Genomic DNA, 22,206 nt, shown 5'->3' on the forward strand with positions numbered 1-22,206 from the left:
GGATAGGGGAGGGATACCATTAGGAAAAATATCTAATGTAGATGACGGGTTGATGGGTGCAGCAAACCACCATGGCACATGTCATGCTGTGTAACAAACCTGCACGTTCTGCACATGTATCCCAGAACTTAAAGCATAATTAAAAAAAAAAAAAGCCCAAGAGAATAAAATATATAAATAACAACAACAACAACAAAATCCAAGAATTAGTTGAATGACACATTTGGTGACTACTTCCATTAATAAGTAATTTTTCTGCTTTGACCTTAGTTATTTTGTTTTCTAAAACATTAATCTCAAATGCTATAATTTTTATTCTCAGTTTTCCAATAACAGGATTGCTAGAACACAACATTTAGTTGAAAAGACAAAGCTCATGTATTGTCAACCTCCCCCAAGATTGTCATGATCTGGAGTTATAATATTCAAGGAGTATTCCACTGACGATTTTTACACCCTAGTCAGTGACTAGATTAGAGAGACACAGAGATTAGAGAGACATAGAGAAACTTCTTTTCGTTCTTTAAAAATACTGAAAATCATATCTGTAATGATAAAGACAGGAGGCAGAGAAATTCTAGGCAGAAAAGGGCGGGGTCCCTTGCGAAGCTCCACTTTCAAGCCTGGAACCACAGCCCAAAGTGAGAACATGCATTCCCGTTTTACCACTCCAACGTTGCCTTTTCCAACCACCCATGGCCCGACCTGCCCCCCATCTTGTACCCATAAAAACCCTAGGCTCCACTGGTAGAGAGCAGATAAAGGGAAAAGAGAAGGAGTAGTTGAACATTGGAGAGAAGCAGCTTAACTTCAACGGGACGGCTTGACAGTGGGACTTCGGAGCAGAGTCCCTCCAGAGACTGCCAGACTTGAAGGGAAGAATACCTTCCCGCTCCATTCCCTTTCCAGCTGAGCACCACTTCCATCGGCAATAAAATCCTCTGCATTCACCACCCTTCAATTTGTTCGTGGGACCTGATTTTTCCTGGACGCCGAACAAGAGCTTGGGTGCCATGTCTGCAGATGCTAAAGGCTGTCACACTGACCCTCTGCCCTCCTGGTGGAGAGCAACTGCCTGACGCAAAAACGCAGAGGGCCCACTGAGCTGTTTAACACTTGAGCCGTCCTCGGACGGCAAAACTAAAAGAGCGCACTGTAACGCACACCCTCTGGGGCTTTAGGGGTCATGGGTATCCCCAGACTGGATCCTGCCGCGAGGACTCCTGGCACCCGCCCACCTGCGTGCTCCTGGTCCTGCTAGGGGTTGAGAGCTGTGGGCTGAGAAAGCTGAGGCAGCCTTGTCGCCGAGGCCCGCAAAGGGGTCAGGGAAAATCTCCTGTTTCAGTAATGTTATATATAGTCTATATACCAGCTTTCTGCTCTACAAAATAGGATAATGGTAACTACTATTTTTCTATTTTATAGCGATAAAAAATTTTTTTCTCAATAGAAAAAAATGCTATTTTCCACTTTCAAAACAAAATGAATATCATAAAGATAATTACATTCACTCAGTGAGAGAGAATAGATATCATCTTTTTTGTATAATATCAAATATAATATAAAATATTTTGCTAATGAACATACCTTCTGACAATTCTATGTATGACTTTCTAAACAGAAACCACAACAGAGCTATCTTAAAATAATCGATTTAAAAAGCATAAGTTTCAACTGAGGAAAAACTAAGACAGAGTGATCTTAAAATAGAGAGGTTTCAGTTTAAGATTCAAAACAGAAAATTTTTCAAGCTTCTGTTCTATGAGGAAATTCACAGCTGTGAGTTTAGATACCATCTGGTTTAGGAGGCCTCAGTTTTTCCATACAAAGGACCAGCTCCCAATTTGACATCTTGGTATGTGGCCTAAGGGAGTTGGTAATAATGTCCTTTACAGCAGCTGCTCAACTTTTTAATAGACAATCACAGGGGTCTGAGAGAAGGGCACATCCTATGGCAACTGGCTTAGCAACCAATTGACCTAATGCCTGCAAAGTGCCTCCTAAGAACCCAGATCCAGGACCACAATACAGAAAACCAACTTGGAGCTGGAATGGGCTTCACAGTTACCTAGTCTAGTGGTCCCACACTTGGACTCAACAATGAGTTTCCAAAACAAAACAACAACCACCCAACAAAACAAAAAGTTTCACAGGGCTTTAGCTTCTAGAAAGGTAGAGTAGACATTCTTTCATCTATTATTTCCTCTAAGTATAACTAAAGGAGTAACATGGTGGTGAGTTCTCTGGGCTTTATTTTTACCTTGTATAGATCCCAGAAGCCAGCAAAGTGGAAACACCAACAGGCACAGACAAACAAAGAAAAAAGCCCATCATAAGTCTGCTCTCTCTAGCCAAAGGAGCAGGAAAGGGGGCAGCTTTGCAACAGAAAAAACTTCTAGGCAATAATTGCTCTACACCACAGAAAAGAACTGTAACCCCATCTTAGCTACACCAGCAAATGCCAAATGGGGAGCCCAAAGTTCCCCTCAGGCCGTGCTGTAAAAAGGCATCATAACCCCACCACTGGGGAAGTATCAGAGAAGGCCAAGTAGAATTCTATGACTTTCATCCCACTAGGAAATTTGAGAAATTTTACGGTATCAGTGGAGACTACATGGGAAGTCTGGACTTCCACCGTACTCGGTATTAATGAGGCACTCCTCTCCCACCTACATGCTATGTGGTATCAGAGGAGAGCTAGTGGACAGTAAGGACTTATATCAGCAAAGAAAGCCACCTCCCTCCTGGTGGCAGTGGAGGCCATGCGGGAAGCAATGATGACACACTCCTACCCCTTTCAGTCAGGAAGTATCAGTAAAGGCTTAGTGGAGAGTTGGAACTTCCACTCCCACCCAGCAGTAACAAGGAGCCCTCAACCCCACTTGGGTATCAGTGGAGGTTGAGGGAGGGACCTAAATGTCTACCCTCAGCTGGCAATAAAGCGGTGGTGCCCCCACCCTTCCTGCCGTAGCACTGTCAGAGAAAGCCATGTAAAACAAAACATGTAACTAAGATCTGGAGTTTCATAATGTAATACTCAAAATGTCCAGATTTCCATTGAAAATTACTTGTCACACCATGAACTAAAAAATTTCAAACTGAATGAAAATAGACAATGAATAGATGCCAATACTGAGATGACAGAAACGTTATGATTTAAATCTGACAAGGATTTAAAGGCAGCTATTATAAATGCTTCAATGAGAAATTATGAACATGCTTGGAACAAATGAAAAATCAGAAAAGCTAAGCATAAGTGATGTGCAATATCTACAGCAACCATGAAAAAATTATAACAAAAAGATACACTCAAAAAACTGTATCTAAATAAATAGAATTCACAAACGTATTCAAGTAACCCACAAGAATTAAGGAAAAATAAAATGGAAACAAAACCCGGAGGAAACAAATAGAAAGCAAAAATGAAGTGGCAGATTTAAACTCTAATATATCAATAATTACTTTAAAGGAAAATGGTCTAAAGGCATCAGTTAAAAGACAGATTGAAAGAAGGGATTTAAAAAGATGACCTAACTACATACAGTCTACAAGAAACTTACTTCAAATATAATGATAGAGACAGGGTTGAAAGTAAAAGAATGAAAAAAGATATCATGCAAACATTAATCAAAAAGAAAGCAAGTGTGTCTATATTAATATCAGATAAAGAGAAAAAAACTCCCAGGGACAGAGAAGGCCTTTAATGTAATGATAAAATGATCATTCCACCAAGAAGACATAGCAATCCTACATATGTATGCACCAAACAACAGAGATGCAAAATATGTGAAGCAAAAACTGATAGGATTAATGAGATAGACAAATACACAATCATAGTTGGAGATATCAGCACCTCTTTCTCAACAATGGATAGATCAATGAGACAGAAAGATCTGTAAGCTACAGAAGAACTCAACAACATCAACCAACAGAATTCTACCCTCCAAACAGCAAAGTATGCATTCTTTTCAAGTTTTCCTGAATATGTACCAAGATAGACCTTATTCTAGGCAATAAAACAAACCTCAACAAATTTAAAAGAACTGAAATAATACAGAGTATGTTCTCTGATCACAGTGAAGTCAAATTAGAAATCAACAATGGAAAGACAATAGGAAAATCACTAAATACTTGGAAAGTAAACAAGTAATGAAAATATAATATATCAAAAATTGTGGGCTCACACCTATAATCTCAGCACTTTGGGAGGCCTAGGTGGATGGAACACCTGAGGTAAGGAGTTCGACACCAGCCTGGCCAAATGGTCAAACCCCATCTCTACTAAAAATACAAAAAATTAGCTGGGTGTGGCAGTGCACACCTGTAATCCCAGGTACTAAGGAGGCTGAAGCAGGAGAATCACTTGAATCCGAGAGGCAGAGGTTGCAGTGAGCAAGATTGCGCCACTGCATTCCAGTCTAGGCAACAGAGTGAGACTCCATCTCAAAATAAATTTTAAAAAAATTGTGAAACACAGCTGAAGCAGTGCTGAGAAAATAATTTATAGCACTAAATGCATACATTAGAAAAGAAGAGTTTCAAATTAATGATCTAAGTTTCCACCTAAGGAAGCTAGAAAAAGAAGAGAGAAAAAAGCAAGCAGAAGGGAAAAATAAACATAAAAGTGGAACCAATAAAATTGAAAATAGAAAAACAATAGGGAGAGGAATGATGTCAGCAAGATGGAGGAGTAAGAGATAACAGCCTCCCTCCTCTAACAAAAAATAATAATTAAACAGCTATCCAAGGATAAAAATAGCCCTGAGAGGGCTCAAATGTCCGTTTAAAAACTACAGCAATACAGTGGAGCAAAAAAAGATAATAACCATACAGAAAAGATTGCTAAGGAGATTAGCTAATTAGAGACATCTGGAGATGGCTGGGAGTAAAGGCAAGGCATAGGGGCTATCTTTATCAGCCATGCTGCAGGTGCCATTGTAACCCCAAGTGGCCTGCTCAATGGAGGACTCCAGCAACCTTTGCTGCTCAGGAACTCAATAGCCCTGATGACAGCCACAGACTCTGTGCAGCTTTCACTGTGGAGAACCCTGTAGTGTTCATTGGTGCCAACCCCAGCATCCTGCTCTGCAGAGGACACTGGCATCTTTCATTATTGAGATAATGAACAGTCATTGCTGCCACAGACTCCCCAGAGAGAGAGATACTGCTGAGCACCCCCACAAAAGGATAGGCTGTTATGTATGTTGAGGACCCCTGCAATCGTTACTGATGATGATCTCAGCTGACAGAGCTGCACAGATATTACACCACTGTTCCTTCTATAGAGCTGAAACCATCACCCCATTCTTCCAGTGCCCTTGCACCAGCACAGCACCGCCTTGTTGAAGGTCTTTCCCCACAAAAACCAATTTGTAAAATCTGGAAGAAAGGCTTGCTCCATAAAATACACAGATATCAACATGAGAACAACAACAACAACAAAAATAGTGGAAACATACACAGACATCAACATGAGAACAAAAAAGAGGAAACACAATACCACCAGAGGAACACAATAATTTTACAAGAACCAATGCCAAAGAAATAAAGACCTACAAACTGCCAAACAAAGAATACAAAATAATTGTTTAAAGGAAGTTCAGTAAGCTATACCAGAACACAGATAGACAACTCAATGCAATCAGGAAAACAATATACGAGCAAAACGAGAAGTTCAACAGACAGATAGAAATTATAAAAAAGAAACAGAAATACTGGAGCTGAAGAATGCAATGAATAAAATGCAAAATGAAATAGAGAGCATCAACAGCAGACTTGAACAAGTGGAGGGGAAAAAGTATAAACTCAAAGACAGGTCATTTGAAATTATCCAGTTAGGGAAATAAAAAAGGAAATTTTTAAAAGTGAAGAAAATATATTTGAATTATAGGACACCAAAAAGCAGCCCAATGTATACATTATGGGAGTTGCAGAAGGAGAAGAGAGAGAGAGCAAAGCATGCAGAAAGCTTATTGAAAGAAATAATGTCTGAAAACTTCCCAAGTCTGGGGATATGTATGGATATATAGGAATATGAAGCTCATAGATCCCCATACAGATTCAATCCAAAGAGGACTTCACCAAAACACATTATAATAAAACTGTCAAAAATCAAAGACAGAGAAAATTTTGAAAGTAGCACGACAAAATAAACTCATCTCATACAAGGGAATCTTCATAAGGCTACCAGCAGGCTTCTCAGCAGAAACCTTATAGGCCAGGAGAGAGTGAGATATATTCAAAGTCCTGAAAGAAAAAAATCTGCCAATCAAAAATATTTTACCCTGCAAAGCTGTCCTTCAGCAATGAATGAGAGAGAAAGACATTCCCAGACAAACAAAAGCTGAGGGAATTCATTACCACTAGACCTTCCATGTAAGAAATACTGAAGGGAGTTATTCAAGCTAAAATGAAAAGACACTAATAGAAACATGAAAACATAAGAAAGTATGAAACTGACTGGTAAAGGTAAATATATAGTCAAATTCAGAATGTGCTAATTATTGTAATAGTATAAAGGTTTAAAGACAAAAGCATTAAAAATAACTAAAGCTACATTAATTTGTTCATTGATACATAATATAAAAACAAAAAATGTAAATTATGACATCAAAAATATAAAATGGAGGCGAGTAAAAGAGTAGAGTTTTTGTATGCAGTTGAAGTTCAGTTAATATCAACTTAAAATAGATTGTTATAATTATATAATATTTTATGGAAGCCGCATGGTAACAACAAAGTACAAATCTATAGTAGACACACAAAAGATAAACAGAAAAAAATCAAAGCATTCCACTATGGAAAAACCATCAAACCACAAAGGAAGACAGGAAAGAAGGAAGAAAGGAACAAAGGAACTAAAAACAGCCAGAAAACAATTAACAAGATGGTAATAGTAAGTCCTTACCTATAAACAATTATTTTTTATTTAAATGGGTTAAATTCGGCCAGGTGCAGTGGCTGATGCTTGAAATCCCAGCACTTTCGGAGGCCAAGGCGGGTGGATCACTTGTGTTCAGGAGTTCCAGATCAGCCTGGCCAACATGGTAAAACCCTGTCTCTACTAAAAACACAAAAATTAGCCAGATATGGTGGTGCATGCCTGTAATCCCAGCTACTCACGAGGGTGAGGAAGGAGAATCACTTGAACCTGGGAGGTGGAGGTTGCAGTGAGCTGAGATCACACCACTGCACTCCAGCAACAAAGCAAGATTCCATCTCGAAAAAAGGGGGATTTAAATCCCCCAGTCAACTAGCAAACATAGACTGCCTGAGTAGACAAAAACAAAAACAAAAAAGATACAACTATATGCTACCTACAAGAGACTCACTTCAACTTTAAGAAAACACATAGGCTGAAAAAGTGAAGGAATTGAAAAAGATAGTCCATGCAAATGGAAACTGAAAGAGAGCAGGGATAGCTATACTTATATCAAACAAAATAAACTATAAGTCAAAATAATGATAAAGGGGTCAATTCATCAAGAGGATATAACAATTGTAAATATGCACCCAGTATTGGAACACACAAATATATTAAGCCAATATTAAAGGCCTAAAGGGAGAAATCTATGGCAATACAATAATAGTAGAAACTTTAACATCTCATTTTCAAAATGGACAGTCATCCAAGCAGAAAATCCATAAGGAAATATTGTACTTGAACTACAATTTAGATCAAATGTACCTAACAGACATATCCAGAACATTCCATCCAATGGCAGCAGAATATACATTCATCTCAAGCACACATGGAACATTCTCCAGGGTAGATCATATGTCAGGCTACAAAACAAGTCTTAACAAATTTAAGAAGCCGAAAAATTTACAAATATGTTAAAATTAAACAACACACTCCAGAACAATCAATGGATAAAAGAAGAAATCAAAAGGGAAATTTAAAAATATCTTGAGTCAAATAAAAATGAAAACACAACATACCAAAACTTATGGAATGTAACAAAATAAATAACCTAATGTTATACCTTAAGGAACTAAAAAAGGATAAACTAAGTGCAAAGTTATCAGAAGAAAGAAAATAAGATCAGAGCAGAAATAAGTGAAATAGAGAGTAGAAAAGCAATAGAAAAGATCAATGGTACTAAGAGCTGGTTTCTTGAGAAGATAAAGAAAACTGACAAACATTTAGCTAAATTAAGTAAGAAAAACAGAGAAGACTTGAATAAAGAAAATCATAAACAGGGGACATTACAACTGCTACTCCATAAATACAAAGGATCATAGGCAACTACTATAAATAATTATACATCAGTAAATTGGATAACCTAGAAGAAATGTATAAATTCCTAGAAACATACAAACTACCAAGACTGGAACATGAAGAAATAGAAAATCTGAATAGACATAAATAATAAGAACATTGAATCAGTAATCAAAAATCTCCCAAAAAAGAAAAGACCAGGAACAGTAGCTTTACTGGCAAATTCTACCAAATGTTCAAAGAAGAATTAATGCCAATCTTTCTCAAACTCTTCCAGAAAATTGAAGAGGAGAGAACACTTCCAACCTCATTTTATGAAGCCAGCATTACCTTAATACCTAAACCAGATGAGGATACTGTAAAAAAGAAAATTAGAGGTCAATATCCCTGATGAACACAGATGCAAAAATTCTCAACAAAATACTAGCAAATTGAATTCAATAGCACATTAAAAGAATCAAACACCATAATCAAGTGAGATGCAAGGATGGTTCAATAGACACAAATCAATAAAGATGATACACCAGATTAACAGAATAAAGGATAAAAATTATATGATCATCTCAATAGATGCAGAAAAAGCATTTTTAAAAATCAACATGTTTCATGATAAAAACTCTTAACAAATTAGGCACATAAGTAATGTATTTCAACATAATAAAGGCCGTATATGACAAGCTCCCAGCTAATATCATTTCAACGGTGAAAATCTGAAAGGTTTTCCTCTAAGAAGTAGAACAAGACAGACAAGGATGTCCTCTCTTGCCGCTTCTATTTAACATAGTACTGGAAGTCCTAGCCAGAGCAATTAGGGAAGAAAAACAGATCAAAGATATCTACATTGGAAAGGAAGAAGTAAAATTGCTGTTTGCAGATGATATGGTCTTGTACATAGAAAATCCTAAAGACTTCACCAAAAATTGGTTAGAAGTAATCAACAAATGAAATATAATATCAGGATAGAAAATCAACATATTAATATCAGTTGTATCAGTTTCTACATTTCAACAAGGAACTATCCAAAAAACAAATCAAGAAAACAATCCCATTTACAATAGCATCAAAAAAATTAATGTATTTGGGAATAATTTTAACTATGGAGGTAAAAGCTCTGTACACTGAAAACTACAAAACGTTGACGATGACATTGAAGACATAAACAAATGGAAAGATATCCCATGTTCATGGATTGGAAGAATATTGTTAAAATGTCCATACTATCCAAAGTGATCAATAGATTCAATACAATCTTTGTCAAAATTTTATCATCATTTTTCATAGAAATAGTAAAAACAATATTAAAATTTGGATGGAACCACAAAGGACCCAAAACACCCAAAGCAATCTTGAGAAAAAACAAAGCTGGTGGCATCACACTTCCTTTATTTTTTTGACACAGATTCTCACTCTGTCGCCCAGACTGGAGGGCAATGTGAAATGGTGCAATCATGGCTCACTGCAGGCTCAATCTCTGTGCTCAAGACATCCTCCTATCTCAGCCTCCCATGTATCTGGGACTACAGGTACATACCACATGCCTGGCTAATCTTTTTTCACTTTTTGTAGAGACAGGGTCTCAATATGTTGTCCAGGCTGGCATCACACTTCTTAATTTCAAACTACATTACAAATAGTAATAAAACAGTACAATACTGGCCTAAAAACAGACACACCAAGCAATTGAACAGAATACAGAGCCCAGAAATAAACCCACACATGTACAGTCGACCAGTCTTTGACAAGGGCTTCAAGAATACACAATGAAGAAAGATAATATCTTCAAAAAACAGTGTTGGGAAACAGGATATCCACATGCAAGGAAATGAAACTGTATCCCCACTTTACATCACTTCCAAAAATTAACTCAAATTGGATTTAACATTTAAGTGTAAAACTCGAAATTGTAAAACTCCTAGAAGAAAAAGAGAAAAGCTCCTTGACATTAGTCTTGGCAGTGATATTTTGGCTATGACACGAAAGGCACAGGCAGTAAAAGCAAAAACAAACAAGAGTGGCGGCTGGGCGCGGTAGCTCATGCCTGTAATCCCAGAACTTTGGTAGGCCAAAGAGGGTGGATCATGAGGTCAGGAGTTCAAGACCAGCCTGGCCAAGATGGTGAAACCCCACCTCTACTAAAAATACAAAAAATTAGCTGGGCATGGTGGCACGTGCCTTTAATCCCAGCTACTCAGGAGGCTGAGGCAGAGAATTGCTTAAACCTGGGAGATGGGGGTTGCAGTGAGCCGAGATCATGCCACTGCACTCCAGCCTAGGTGACAGAGAAAGACTCCGTCTCACAAAAAAAAAGAAAAAACAAAAAAACAAAAACAAAGAAACAAACAAAAAAAACCAGTGGCTACAACAGAAAAAAAAAAAAAAAAGCTTTTGCACAGCAAACTAAACAATCAACAAAATGGAAAGGCAACCTACAGAATGGGAGAAAATATATCTGATATAAGGGACTAACAACTAAAATGTATAAGGAACTCATACAGCTCAATAGCAAAACAAACAGACAAACAAAAAAACAATAAATACACAAATAATCTGGTTTCAAAATGGGCAAAAGACCTGAATGAATATTTTTCCAAGAAGATACACAAATGGCCAGCAGATACAGGAAAGGGTACTAAACATCACTAACCATCAGGGAAATGCAAATCAAAACCACAATGAGAGATAATCTCACATCTGTTAGGATGTCTCTAATAAAAAATATCAAAAGATACCAAGCGTTGGCAAAAATGTGGATAAATGAAAACTGTCTCAAATTTTTGGTGGGAATGTAAATTGGTATAGCTACTATAGAAAACAGTATGGAGGTTCCTTACAAAACTAAAAATAAAACTTCTATATAATCCAGCAATCCCAAGTCTGAGTATAGCTCTGAAGTCACGGAAATCAGTATCTTAAAGAGATATCTACACTCTCATGTTCATTGGATGGATGAACATTGGATTGGATTTTATCAATGGATAAAAAATGTGTTATGTATGTACAATAGAATATTATTGAGTCATAAAATGAAGGAAATACTGCCATTGTGATCTCATAGAAACAGAGTAGAATGGTGGTTGCCATGGACTGGAGCTGTGGGAAATGAAGAGATGGTGGGCAAAGGGTGCAAACCTTCAGTAATAAGATGAATACAATTTGAGGTTCTAATGTACAGTGTGAGAATTATACTTAAAAATATTGTTCTGTATACTTGAAATTTGCTATGAGAGTACATCTTAAGCATTCTCTCTCTCTCATTCTCTCTCTCTCTCTCACATACACACACACACACACACATCCAAGGTATCTATGTGAGGCGATGATTATGTTAATTAACTTCATTGTGGTAATCATTTCACAATCTATACATATATCAAATCATCATCTTGTACACTTTAAATATATACAATTTTATCAATTATACCTCAATAAAGCTTTTAAAAAATGAAAAAGTGGGCTGGGTGTAGTGACTCTCAGTTGTAATCCCAACACTTTGGAAGGCAGAAGCAGGAGGATTGCTTGAGGCCTGGATTATGAGACCAGTCTGGGCAATATAGTGAGACTCTGTCTCTATAAAATTTAAAAAATTGACTAGGTATGGTTGTACATGCCTGTAGTCCTAGCTAATCAGGAGGCTGAGGTGGGAGGATCACTTGAGCCCAGGAGTTTGAGGTTGCAGTGAGTCGTGATTACACCACTGCACTCCAGCCTGGGTGACAGAGGGAGCTTCTGTCTCGAAAAAAAGAAAAAAAAAAAAGGAAAAAATCAATGAAACAAAGAACTGTTTCCTTGAAAACATTAGTAATGTTGACACACCTCTAGGGTGGCTGAAAAGAAAAAACAGAGAGAAGACACAAATTAGTAATATCAAGAAGAAAACAGGGATATCATTATAGAACCTGCATACACTCAAAGAATAATAAGGGAATATTAAGAACAATTCTATGTTCAGAAATTTGGCAACTTAGGTGAAATGAATCAATTTCTTAAAAAACACAATTCATCCAATATGAAATAGAGAATTTGAAACATTGTATAGCTACTAAGTAAACTGAATTCATAATTCAAAATCCTCTGTTGCCCAGGTTGGAGTGCAGTGGAGTGAACCTAGGAGGCGGAGGTTACAGTGAGCCAAGTTGCACCACTGCACTCCAGCCTGGGTGACAGAGTGAGACTCCATCTCAAAAAAAAGAGATCCTCCTGCTTCAGCCTTTCAAGTAGCTAAGATTACAAACATGCGCCATCATGCTTGGCTAATTTAAAAAATAATTTTGTGGAGACAGGGTCTACTGTGTTGCCCAGGCTGATCTATCAAACTCCTGGCCTCAAGCAACTCTCCTGCCTCAGCCTCCCAAAGTGCTGGGATTACAGGTGTGCGCAACCTAACCTGGCCTAGAAGTTTATTTCTTATAGTTCTAGAGGTTGAGGAGTCTAAGATCAAGGTGAGAGGGGCACACTGAGAGTCAAACTGGCTTTTATAACAGACCCATTCTTATGTTAACTAACCCACTACCATGGTAACCCACTAATCCATGGCAAGTCCTCACTTCTTAATACTGTTACATTGGGGATTAAATTTCAACATGAGTTTCACAGGACAAAAACATTTAAATCATAGCAGAAGATATGCAGGTGTCAAGAACATATAAAGGTATTTAACATCATTAGCCATTAGAGATACAAATTAAAACCATGATGAGTTATTACTACAAACGTAACAAAATGGCTTAAATAAAAAATAGTGACAAAACCAGATGCTGTCAAAAATGTGGAGAAACTAGATCACTCACACATTGCTGGTAGGAAAGTAAAACGGTACAGTCATTATGGAAAACATTATGGAAACAATACTGCAGTTTATTGAAAAATTAAACATGCAACCTCCATATCACCCTGAAGTTGCATTCTTGGGCGCTTATTCCAGAGAGATCAAGATTTAATGTTGTTTTTGTTTGTTTGTTTGTTTGTTTTTTTCTGAGACGGAGTCTCGCTGTCTCCCAGGCTGGAGTGCAGTGGCGCGATCTCTGCTCACTGCACGCTCCGCCTCCCAGGTTCACGCCATTCTCCTGCCTCAGCCTCCCGAGTAGCTGGGACTACAGGCGCCCGCCACGACGCCCAGCTAATTTTTTGTATTTTTAGTAGAGACGGGGTTTCACCGTGTTAGCCAGGATGGTGTCGATCTCCTGACCTTGTGATCCTCCCACTTCGGCCTCCCAAAGTGCTGGGATTACAGGTGTGAGCCACCATGCCCGGCCAGATGTAATGTTAATATACAAACCTGCACATGAAAAATTAGCTGCATGTAGCAGTGTTCCCCTGTAGTCCCAGCTATTCAGGTGGCAGTGGCAGGAGGATTGCTTAAGCCTGGCAGGTTGAGGCAGCAGTGAGCTGTGATCACATCACTGCACTCCACCCTGGGCAAAAGAGTGAGACTCTCTGAAAAACACAAAACAAAACCAAACAAAACCCTGCAAATGAGTGTTTATATAGTTTTCTTTATAATGGTCCAAAACTTGAACAAACTTAGATGTCCTTCACCAGGTGAATAATTGGTTTAACATATTGTGGCACATCCATGCCATGGAATACTACTTGACAATAAAAAGAAATAAAATATTTTGTTTGTATTTTTGTGGGTACATAGTAAGTGTATATATTTATCAGGAATATGAGATGTTTTGATACAGGAATGCAATGCGTAATAATCACATCATGGAGAGTAGGGTATCCATCCCCTCAAGCATTCATTTTTTGTGTTACAAAAAATCCAATTATACTTTTTTAGTTATTTTTAAATGTACAATTAAATTATTATCGACTATAGTCACCCTGCTGTGCAATCAAATGCTAGGTCTTATTCATGCTTTCGAACTATTTTTTGTACCCGTTAACCATCCCCATCTTCCTCCTAACCTCCTACTAACCTTCCCAGTCCCTAGTAAACATCTTTCTACTCTATCTCCATGAATTCAGTTGATTTGATTTTTAGATCCCACAAATAAATGAGAACATGGGATGGTTGTCTTTCTGTGCCTGCCTTTTTTCACTTAACATAATGATCTTTGGTTCCATCCATGTTGTTCCAAATGACAGGATTTCATTCTTTTTATAGCTAAATAGTACTCCATTGTGTATATGTACCACATTTTATTTATCCATTCATCTGTTGAGGGACACTCGGGTTGCTTCCAAATCTTGGCTATTGTGAACAGTGCTACAATAAACATGAGAGTGCAGATATCTCTTCAATATGCTGATTTCCTTTCTTTTGAGTATATACCCAGCTCTATATTTAGATGTTTGAGGAACCTCCAAACTGTTCTCCATAGTAGTTGTACTAATTTCATTTTCATCAACAGTGTATGAGGATTCCCTTTTCTCCACATCCTTGCCAGCATTTCTTATTGCCTGTCTTTTGGATATAAACCATTTTAACTGGGGTGAGATGATATCTCACTGTAGTTTTGTTTTGCATTTTGCTGATGATCAGTGATATTGGGCACTTTTTCATATGCCTGTTTGTTGTTTGCATGTCTTCTTTTGAGAAATGTCTCTGCACATCTTTTGCCCATTTTTTGGATTGGATTACTAGATTTTTCCCTATAGAGTTGTTTGAGCTCCTTACTTATTCTGGTTATTAATCCCTTGTCAGATGGGCAGCTTGCAAATATTTTCTCCCATTCTAGTAGTTGTCTCTTCACTTTATTGATTGTTTCCATTTCTGTGCAAAGTCTTTTTAACTTCATGTGATCCCATTTGTCCATTTTTGCTTTGGTTGCCTGTGCTTGTGGGGTATTACTCAAGAAATTTTTGCCTACACCAATGTCGTGGAGACTTTCCCCAATATTTTTTTAGTAGATTCATAGTTTCAGATCTTAGATTTAAGTCTTTAATCCACTTTTATTTGATTTTTGTTTATGGTGAGAGATAGAGGTCTAGTTTCTTTCTTCTGCATATGAATATGCATTTTTCCCAGCACCATTTATTGAAGAGACTTTTTCCCAATATATGTTCTTGGCACCTTTGTTGAAAATGAGTTCATATGGGGATTTGTTTCTGGACTCTCTATTCTGTTCCACTGGTTTATATGTCTGTTTTTATGCCAGTCCCGTGCTGTTTTGTTTACTATAGCGCTGTAGTATAATTTTTTTTCTTACCCTATCTTGATGTGGTATAATTTGAAGTTGGGTAACGTAATTCCTCCAGTTTTGTTATTTTTGCTTGGGATAGATTTGATTAGTGTGGGTTTTTGTGGTTTATATACATTTTAGAATTGTTGTTTCTGTTTTTGCGAAGAATGCCATTAGCATTTTGATAAGGATTGCATTGAATTTGTAGATTGCTTTGGGTAGTATGGACATTTAACAATACTGATTCTTCCAATCCATGAACATGAAGTATCTTTTCTTTCTTTTTTTTTTTTTGGTGTCATCACTATTTTAGAATTTTCATTATAGAGATCTTTCACTTCTTTGGAAAATTCCTAGGGATTTTATTTTATTTGTGGCTATTGTAAATGGGATTAGTATTTTGATTTCTTTTTCAGATTGCTTGCTGTTAACATACAGTAATGCTACTGATTTTTGTATGTTGATTTTTGTATCCTTCAACTTTACTGAGTTTGTTTATCTTGTAACAGTTTTTGTGTGCATATGTCTGTGTGTGTGTGGAGTCTTTAGGTTTTTCCAAATATAGGATCATATCATCTTCAAACAATGATAATTTTACTTCTTCCTTTCCATTTTGGAGACCCTTTATTTCCTTCTCTTCTCTGATTGCTGTAGCTAGGACTTCCAGTAATATGTTTAATAACAGTGACAAAAGTGGGCATCCTTGTTGTGTTGCAGATCTGAGAGAAAAGGCTTTCAGTTTTTCCCCATTTAGTATGATACTAGCTGTGGGTCTGTTATATATGGCTTCTATTATGTTGAGGTTATGTTCCTTCTATACTCAGTTTTTTGAGGTTTTTCTTTTATCATGAAGGGATGTTGAATTTTATCAAATGCTTTTTTTGGCATCTGTTGAAATGATCATATGGTTTTAGGCTTTCATTCTGTTGGTATGATGTATCATATTCATAGACTTGTGTATGTTCAACAATCCTTGCATTCCTGGGATAAATCCAACTTGGTCATGATGAATGATCTTTTCTTCATGCTATATTATCTTTAATTAAGTACAAAAAGCTTTCTAACATGTCTCTAGAGACCATTTCACCCACTTCTCTGTTTGGCTGCCAGTCTCTCGTCTCTCTCTTCAGCAATGGTGAGGCAGATACCCTTTCCTCAGGGAGGAGAAGTTCATGGTTTGTTGCTCTTGCCAATAACAAAAATGTTGGAAAGGTGGGTGACAAATCTGTTGCCACTGGCATCTTTCACATGAACCACATGAAAAGATCCAGGATGTCTCTCCCTGGTTATCCTTCCCAGGTTAGCACCCCTCAGTCACCATACACAGGTTACCAATGTTGAACTTGATAAAATCAGTAATCTTGCCAGTCTCCAAACCAATCTGAATCTGTTACTCACCTTGATGAGGGGATCAGGGTAGTGGATAGTGTGAACATCATGAATCACCAGATGAGGAATTCCTTTTGTACCCACAAAGATTTTTCTCACTTTGCACAACTTGTACTTAGCCTCCTCAGATGTAATATGATGAACAGCAGAGTGACCCTTGGTGTCATAGATCAGACGGACATTCTCTCCAGTCTTGTCAATGCTGATGACATCCATGAATCCAAGCAGGGTAGGTTACATCAGTTTGGACCTTTCCATTGATCTTAATAAACCACTGCATGCAAATCTTCTTTACTTCATCTCCTGTCAAGGCATACTTAAGTCTGTTCCTTAGGAAAATGATGACAGGGAGGTACTTTCTCAACTTGTGGGAACCAGTGGATGGATGAGGAGTAAACACACCAATCAATTTATCCAGCATCCAATGCTTTGGAGCTGGTACTCACTTCAGATGCTTCTTAGGACCAAAGCCATGGTTGTGCTAGGCATAGAAAGAGTGATGAATGATCTTTTTAATCTGGTTTGTTAGTATTTTGTTGAGAATTTTTGCATCAATGTTCATCAGGGATATTGGCCTATAGTTTTATTTTTTGATGTATCTTTGTCTGGTTTTGGTATCACGGTAATACTGGCCTCACAGAATGAATGTGCAAGTATTTCTTTCTCCTCTACTTTTTTTTTTTTTTTTTTTGAGACAGAGTCTTGCTCTGTCACCCAGGCTGGAATGCAGTGGCGCAATCTCAGCTCATTGCAACCTCCGCCTCCTGGGTTCAAGCAATTCTCTGCCTCAGGTTCCCGAGTAGCTGGGATTACAGGCACCTGCCACCATGCCCAGCTAATTTTTGTATTCTTAGTAGAGACAGGGTTTCACCATGTTGGCCAGGCTGGTCTTGAACTCCTGACCTCGTGATCCACCCACCTCGGCCTCCCAAAGTGCTGGGATTACAGGCGTGAGCCACCGTGCCCGGCCTCCCTTCTCCTCTATTTTTTAGGATAGTTTTAGGAGGATTGGTATTCGTTTTTCATGAAATGTTTGGTAGAATTCAGCATTGGAGCCATTGGGTCCTGGGCTTTTCTTTACTGTGACACTTTTTATTATGACTTCAATCTTGTCACCTGTTATTGGTCTGTTTGGGTTTTGGATTTTTTCATGGTTCAATCTTGGTATGTGGTATGCATCTAGAAATTTGTCCATTTCTTCTAGATTTTCCAATTTATTGGCATATAGTTGCTCATATAGCTACTAATGATTTTTCGAGTTTCTGCAGTATCAGCTGTAATGTGTCCTTTTTCATCTCTGTTTTGATTATTTGGATCTCCTCTCTTTTTTTCTTAGTTGGCTAAAGGTTTATCCATTTTGTTTATCTTTTCAAGAAACCAACTTTTCCTTCCATTAATCATTTGTGTTATTTTCTTCATTTCAATTTCACTTATTTCTGCCCTTATCTTTATTTTTTCTTTTCTTCTACCAATTTTGAGCTTGCTTTGCTCTTGCTTTTCTAGTTATTTAAGATGCATTGTTAGGTCGTCTACCTGAAGCTTTTTTTCTTTTTGATGTAATCACTTACAGCTATAAATTTCCCTCTTAGTAATGCTTTTGCTGTACCACAAAGGTTTTGGTATGTTGTGTTGCCATTATAACTTGTCTCAAGAAATGCTTTATTTTCTTCCTAATTTCTTTATTCACACGCTCATCACTCAGGAGCATATTATTTAATTTCCATATATTTGCATAGTTTCCAAAATTCCTCTTGTTATTAGCTTTTAGTTGTACTCCATTGTGATCAGAGAAGATGCTGGATAGTATTTCAATTTTTTTTGCATGTTTTAAGGCTTGTTTTATGATCTAACATATGGTTTACCCTTGAGAATGATCCAAGTGCTGAGAAAAAGAATGTGTATTCTGCAGCCATTGGATGAAATGTTCTGAAAGTGTCTATTTGGTCCATTTGGTTTATAGTGCAGATTAAGTCTGGTGTAATTTATTTATTTTTCTGTCTGGAAGATCTGTCCAATGTTGAAAGTGGAGAGTTGAAGTCTCCAGCTATTATTATATTGGAGTCTATCTCTCTCTTTAGCTCTAATAATATTTGCTTTATATATCTGGGTGCTCCAGTGTTGGGCACATATATATTTACAATTGTTATATTCTCTTGCTGAATTAACTCCTTTATCATTATTTAGTGACCTTTGTCTCTTCTTACAGTTTTTCTCTTAAAATCTATTTTGTCTGATATAAGTATAGCTACTCCTGCTCTTTTTTGGTTTCCGTTAGCATGGACTATCATTTTCCATCCCTTTACATTCAGTCTATGTGTGTCTTTATAGGTGAAGTGTGTTTCTTGTAGGCAAGGGATCACTGGTTCTTGTTTTTCACCCATTCAGCCACTCTATGTCTTTTGATTGGAGAGTTTAGTTCATTTACATTCATTGTTATTACTGATAAGAACTTACTCCTACCATTTTGTTATTTGTTTTCCAGTTGTTTAGCGGTTTTCTCTTCCTTCTTTCTTCCCTTCCTGTCTTCCCTTTAGTGAAGGTAATTTTCTCTAATGATATGATCTAGTTTCTTGCTTTTTATATTTTGTGTATTCATTGTATGGTTTTTGGTTGGAGGTTACCATGAAGTTTGCAAATACTATCTTATAATTTATTATTTTAAGCTGATAACAACTCTGCATAAACAAACAAGCAAAAAGAAAACTAATAAAATTTCTATGCCTTAACTTCACCCTTCCTCCCATGCTTTTCAACTTTTTGTTGTTTCCATTTGTATCTTACTGTACTCTCTATGTCTAAGTTGTCATAGTTACAATTTTTTATTGATTTATCATTTAATGTTTTAACTTAAGAGTAGTTTACACACCATAGTTACATTATTATAATATTCTGTGTTTTTCTGTGTACTTACTATTACCAGCAAGTTTGTACCTTGAGGTGATTACATACTGCTTGTTCACATTTTTTTTTTCTTTCTGATTTAAGTCCTTCCATTAGCATTTCTTGTAGGACAGGTCTGGTGTTAATGAAATCCCTCAGCTTTTGTTCGCTTGGTAAAGTTTTTAATTTCTCCTTCATGTTTGAAGGATGTTTTCACCAGATATACTATTCTAAAGTAAAACTTTGTTTTTCCTTCAGCATTTTAAATATATCACTCCTCTCTCTCCTGCCTGTAAAGTTTCCACTGAAAAGTCTGCTTCCAGACATATTGGAGCTCCATTGCATCTTATTTGTTTCTTCTCTTTTGCTGCTTTTAGGATCCTTTCTTTATTCTTGATCTTTGGGAGTTTGATTTTTAAATGTCTTGAGGTAGTCTTCTTTGGGTTAAATCTGCTTGGTGTTCTATAATCTTCTTGTACTTGGATATTGAGATCTTTCTCTAGGTTTGGGAACTTCTCTTATTATACCTTTGAATAAACTTTCTACTCCTATCTCTTCCTCTACACCCTCTTTAAGGCCATTAATTCTTAGATTTGCCCTTTTGAGACTATTTTCTATATCCTGTAGGTGTGCTTCATTGTTTTTTCTTCTTTTTTCCTTTTGTCTCCTCTGATCATGCATTTTGTTGTTGTTGTTGTGTTTTTGAGATGGAGTCTCACCCTGTCTCCCAGGCTGGAGTGCAATGGTGCAGTCTTGGCTCACTGCAACCTCTGCCTTCTGGGTTCAAACGATTCTCTGGCCTCAGCCTCCTGAGTAGCTGGGATTACAGGTGCCCGCCACCACGCCCAGCTAATTTTTGTATTTTTAGTAGAGATGGGGTTCATCATTTGGCCAGGTTGGTCTTGAACTCCTGACCTCATGATCCACCTGCCTCGGCCTCCCAAAGTGCTGAGATTACAGGCGTGAGCCACCACACCCGGCCTATGCATTTTCAAATAGCCTGTCTTGATGTATACAGCAACCTGGATGAATTTCCAGAGAATTATGCTGAGTGAAAAAAAAGCCAATCCCCAAAGGTTATATACTGTATGATTCCATTTATATAACATTCATAAAGTGATGAAATTATAGACATGGAGTACAAGCTAGTGGTTTCCAGAGTGGGTGAGAGTGAAAGGAAAGTGACTGCCTATAAAAGGACAACTTCAGGTGATGGAAACCTTTTTTTATTTTGTCTGTATAAATGTCAATATCCTGGTTTTGATATTGTACTATATTTTTGCAAGATGTAACCACTGGGTAAAACTGGGTAAAGGATACAAGACCCTCTCTGTATTATCATTTTTTTTTTACAACTGCATGTGAATTTATAATTATCTCAAAATAAAAAGTTTAATTAAAAAAAACTTGGTTCTTGGGCCCCATCTGAAACCTGACCAATCAGGAACTCCAGAAATGGGGCTCAAGAATCTATATCTCTAACAACTTCCTTAGCTCTGCATACTACCATTTGAGAATGAATGATGTAACCCAACTTCTTACTGATGCATGAATTCCTTCCAAAAACCTCCCTTACAGGTGCCCCGGATAGCTCCTTGAATATTTTTAGGAAAAGGAACACTCTTCTGGTTAAGACAGCCCGTCTGCCTATAGGAGAGTATCATAGAACATTCTTTGGTTTTTGAGCCAAAATCTGCCTCTCTGTATGATCTAGGGCTTCCCTGTGGGCCAATCTGTCAGGCATGTGACAAATCTTTACTCTTATCCCCCTAAGTTTTTCTCATGGTTTCAAACTCCTCACTATCTAGCCACTCTAACTCCAATTTATCTGAGGCTTAGGGGTGTCCCAGGGATGTGGGACTTTCATGTGCTAAAATGAAAATACTGGCCAAATCTGGACTCGTTGGTCACTTTAAAATTCATCAGTATTCTTTTTTTGAAGTATTATTTATATACAATAAAATTAATCCTTTTAAAGTGTATGTCATTCAATGAGTTGGGAAATGTATAGTTGTGTAATTATTACCACCACAATCAAGGTATTTACATCATCCCAAAATACGGTGCCCCTAGTCAGTCAATTCCATCCTCTGACAACCTGCAACCCCTGATATGATTTGGGTACCTATAGTTTTGTCTTTTTCAGAATGTCATATAAATGGAAACCAAAAAATGTATAGACTTTTGTGTCTGGCTTTTTTCATTAGTATAATTCTTTTGAGATTCATCCATTTTGTTGCACGAATAAGTAGTTAATCTCTTTTTACTGCTGAATTTTGGCAACATTCTTAAATGCCCATAACTGAATCCAAGACCTTAGAAATGGTCCACTCTGGTGAACACAGCAGAAAGAATGACTACCTTCTTCCTTAAGTGGAACACTGCCAATTCCAATCAAAGATCAACTTAGTGTTCTCAGCAGTTAGATTGCAAAATTACCTCGTTTAGGCTCCAGTTAACTAAAAATCCCATATCATTTTCACATGGATTGCTGTTTACCAATTGCTAGGACTCATATGATGTTTTGGGCCCAAGTACAATACTTAACACAACTTTTTTTTCTTTGATAGCATTTAAAAATTGAGATAT

General features: G+C 37.3%; 1 protein-coding gene and 1 pseudogene across 5 annotated transcripts in view; both read right to left on the bottom strand.

The window, feature by feature from the left end:
• Window positions 1-22,206, bottom strand: part of WDPCP (WD repeat containing planar cell polarity effector) — a 721,268-nt gene that overhangs the window by 507,276 nt on the left and 191,786 nt on the right. The gene's annotated exons all lie outside the window — the stretch shown is intronic.
• Window positions 16,358-17,234, bottom strand: RPS4XP5 (ribosomal protein S4X pseudogene 5; annotated as a pseudogene).

Source organism: Homo sapiens, chromosome 2 (assembly GCF_000001405.40).
Source record: "Homo sapiens chromosome 2, GRCh38.p14 Primary Assembly".
Taxonomy (NCBI): domain Eukaryota; kingdom Metazoa; phylum Chordata; class Mammalia; order Primates; family Hominidae; genus Homo; species Homo sapiens.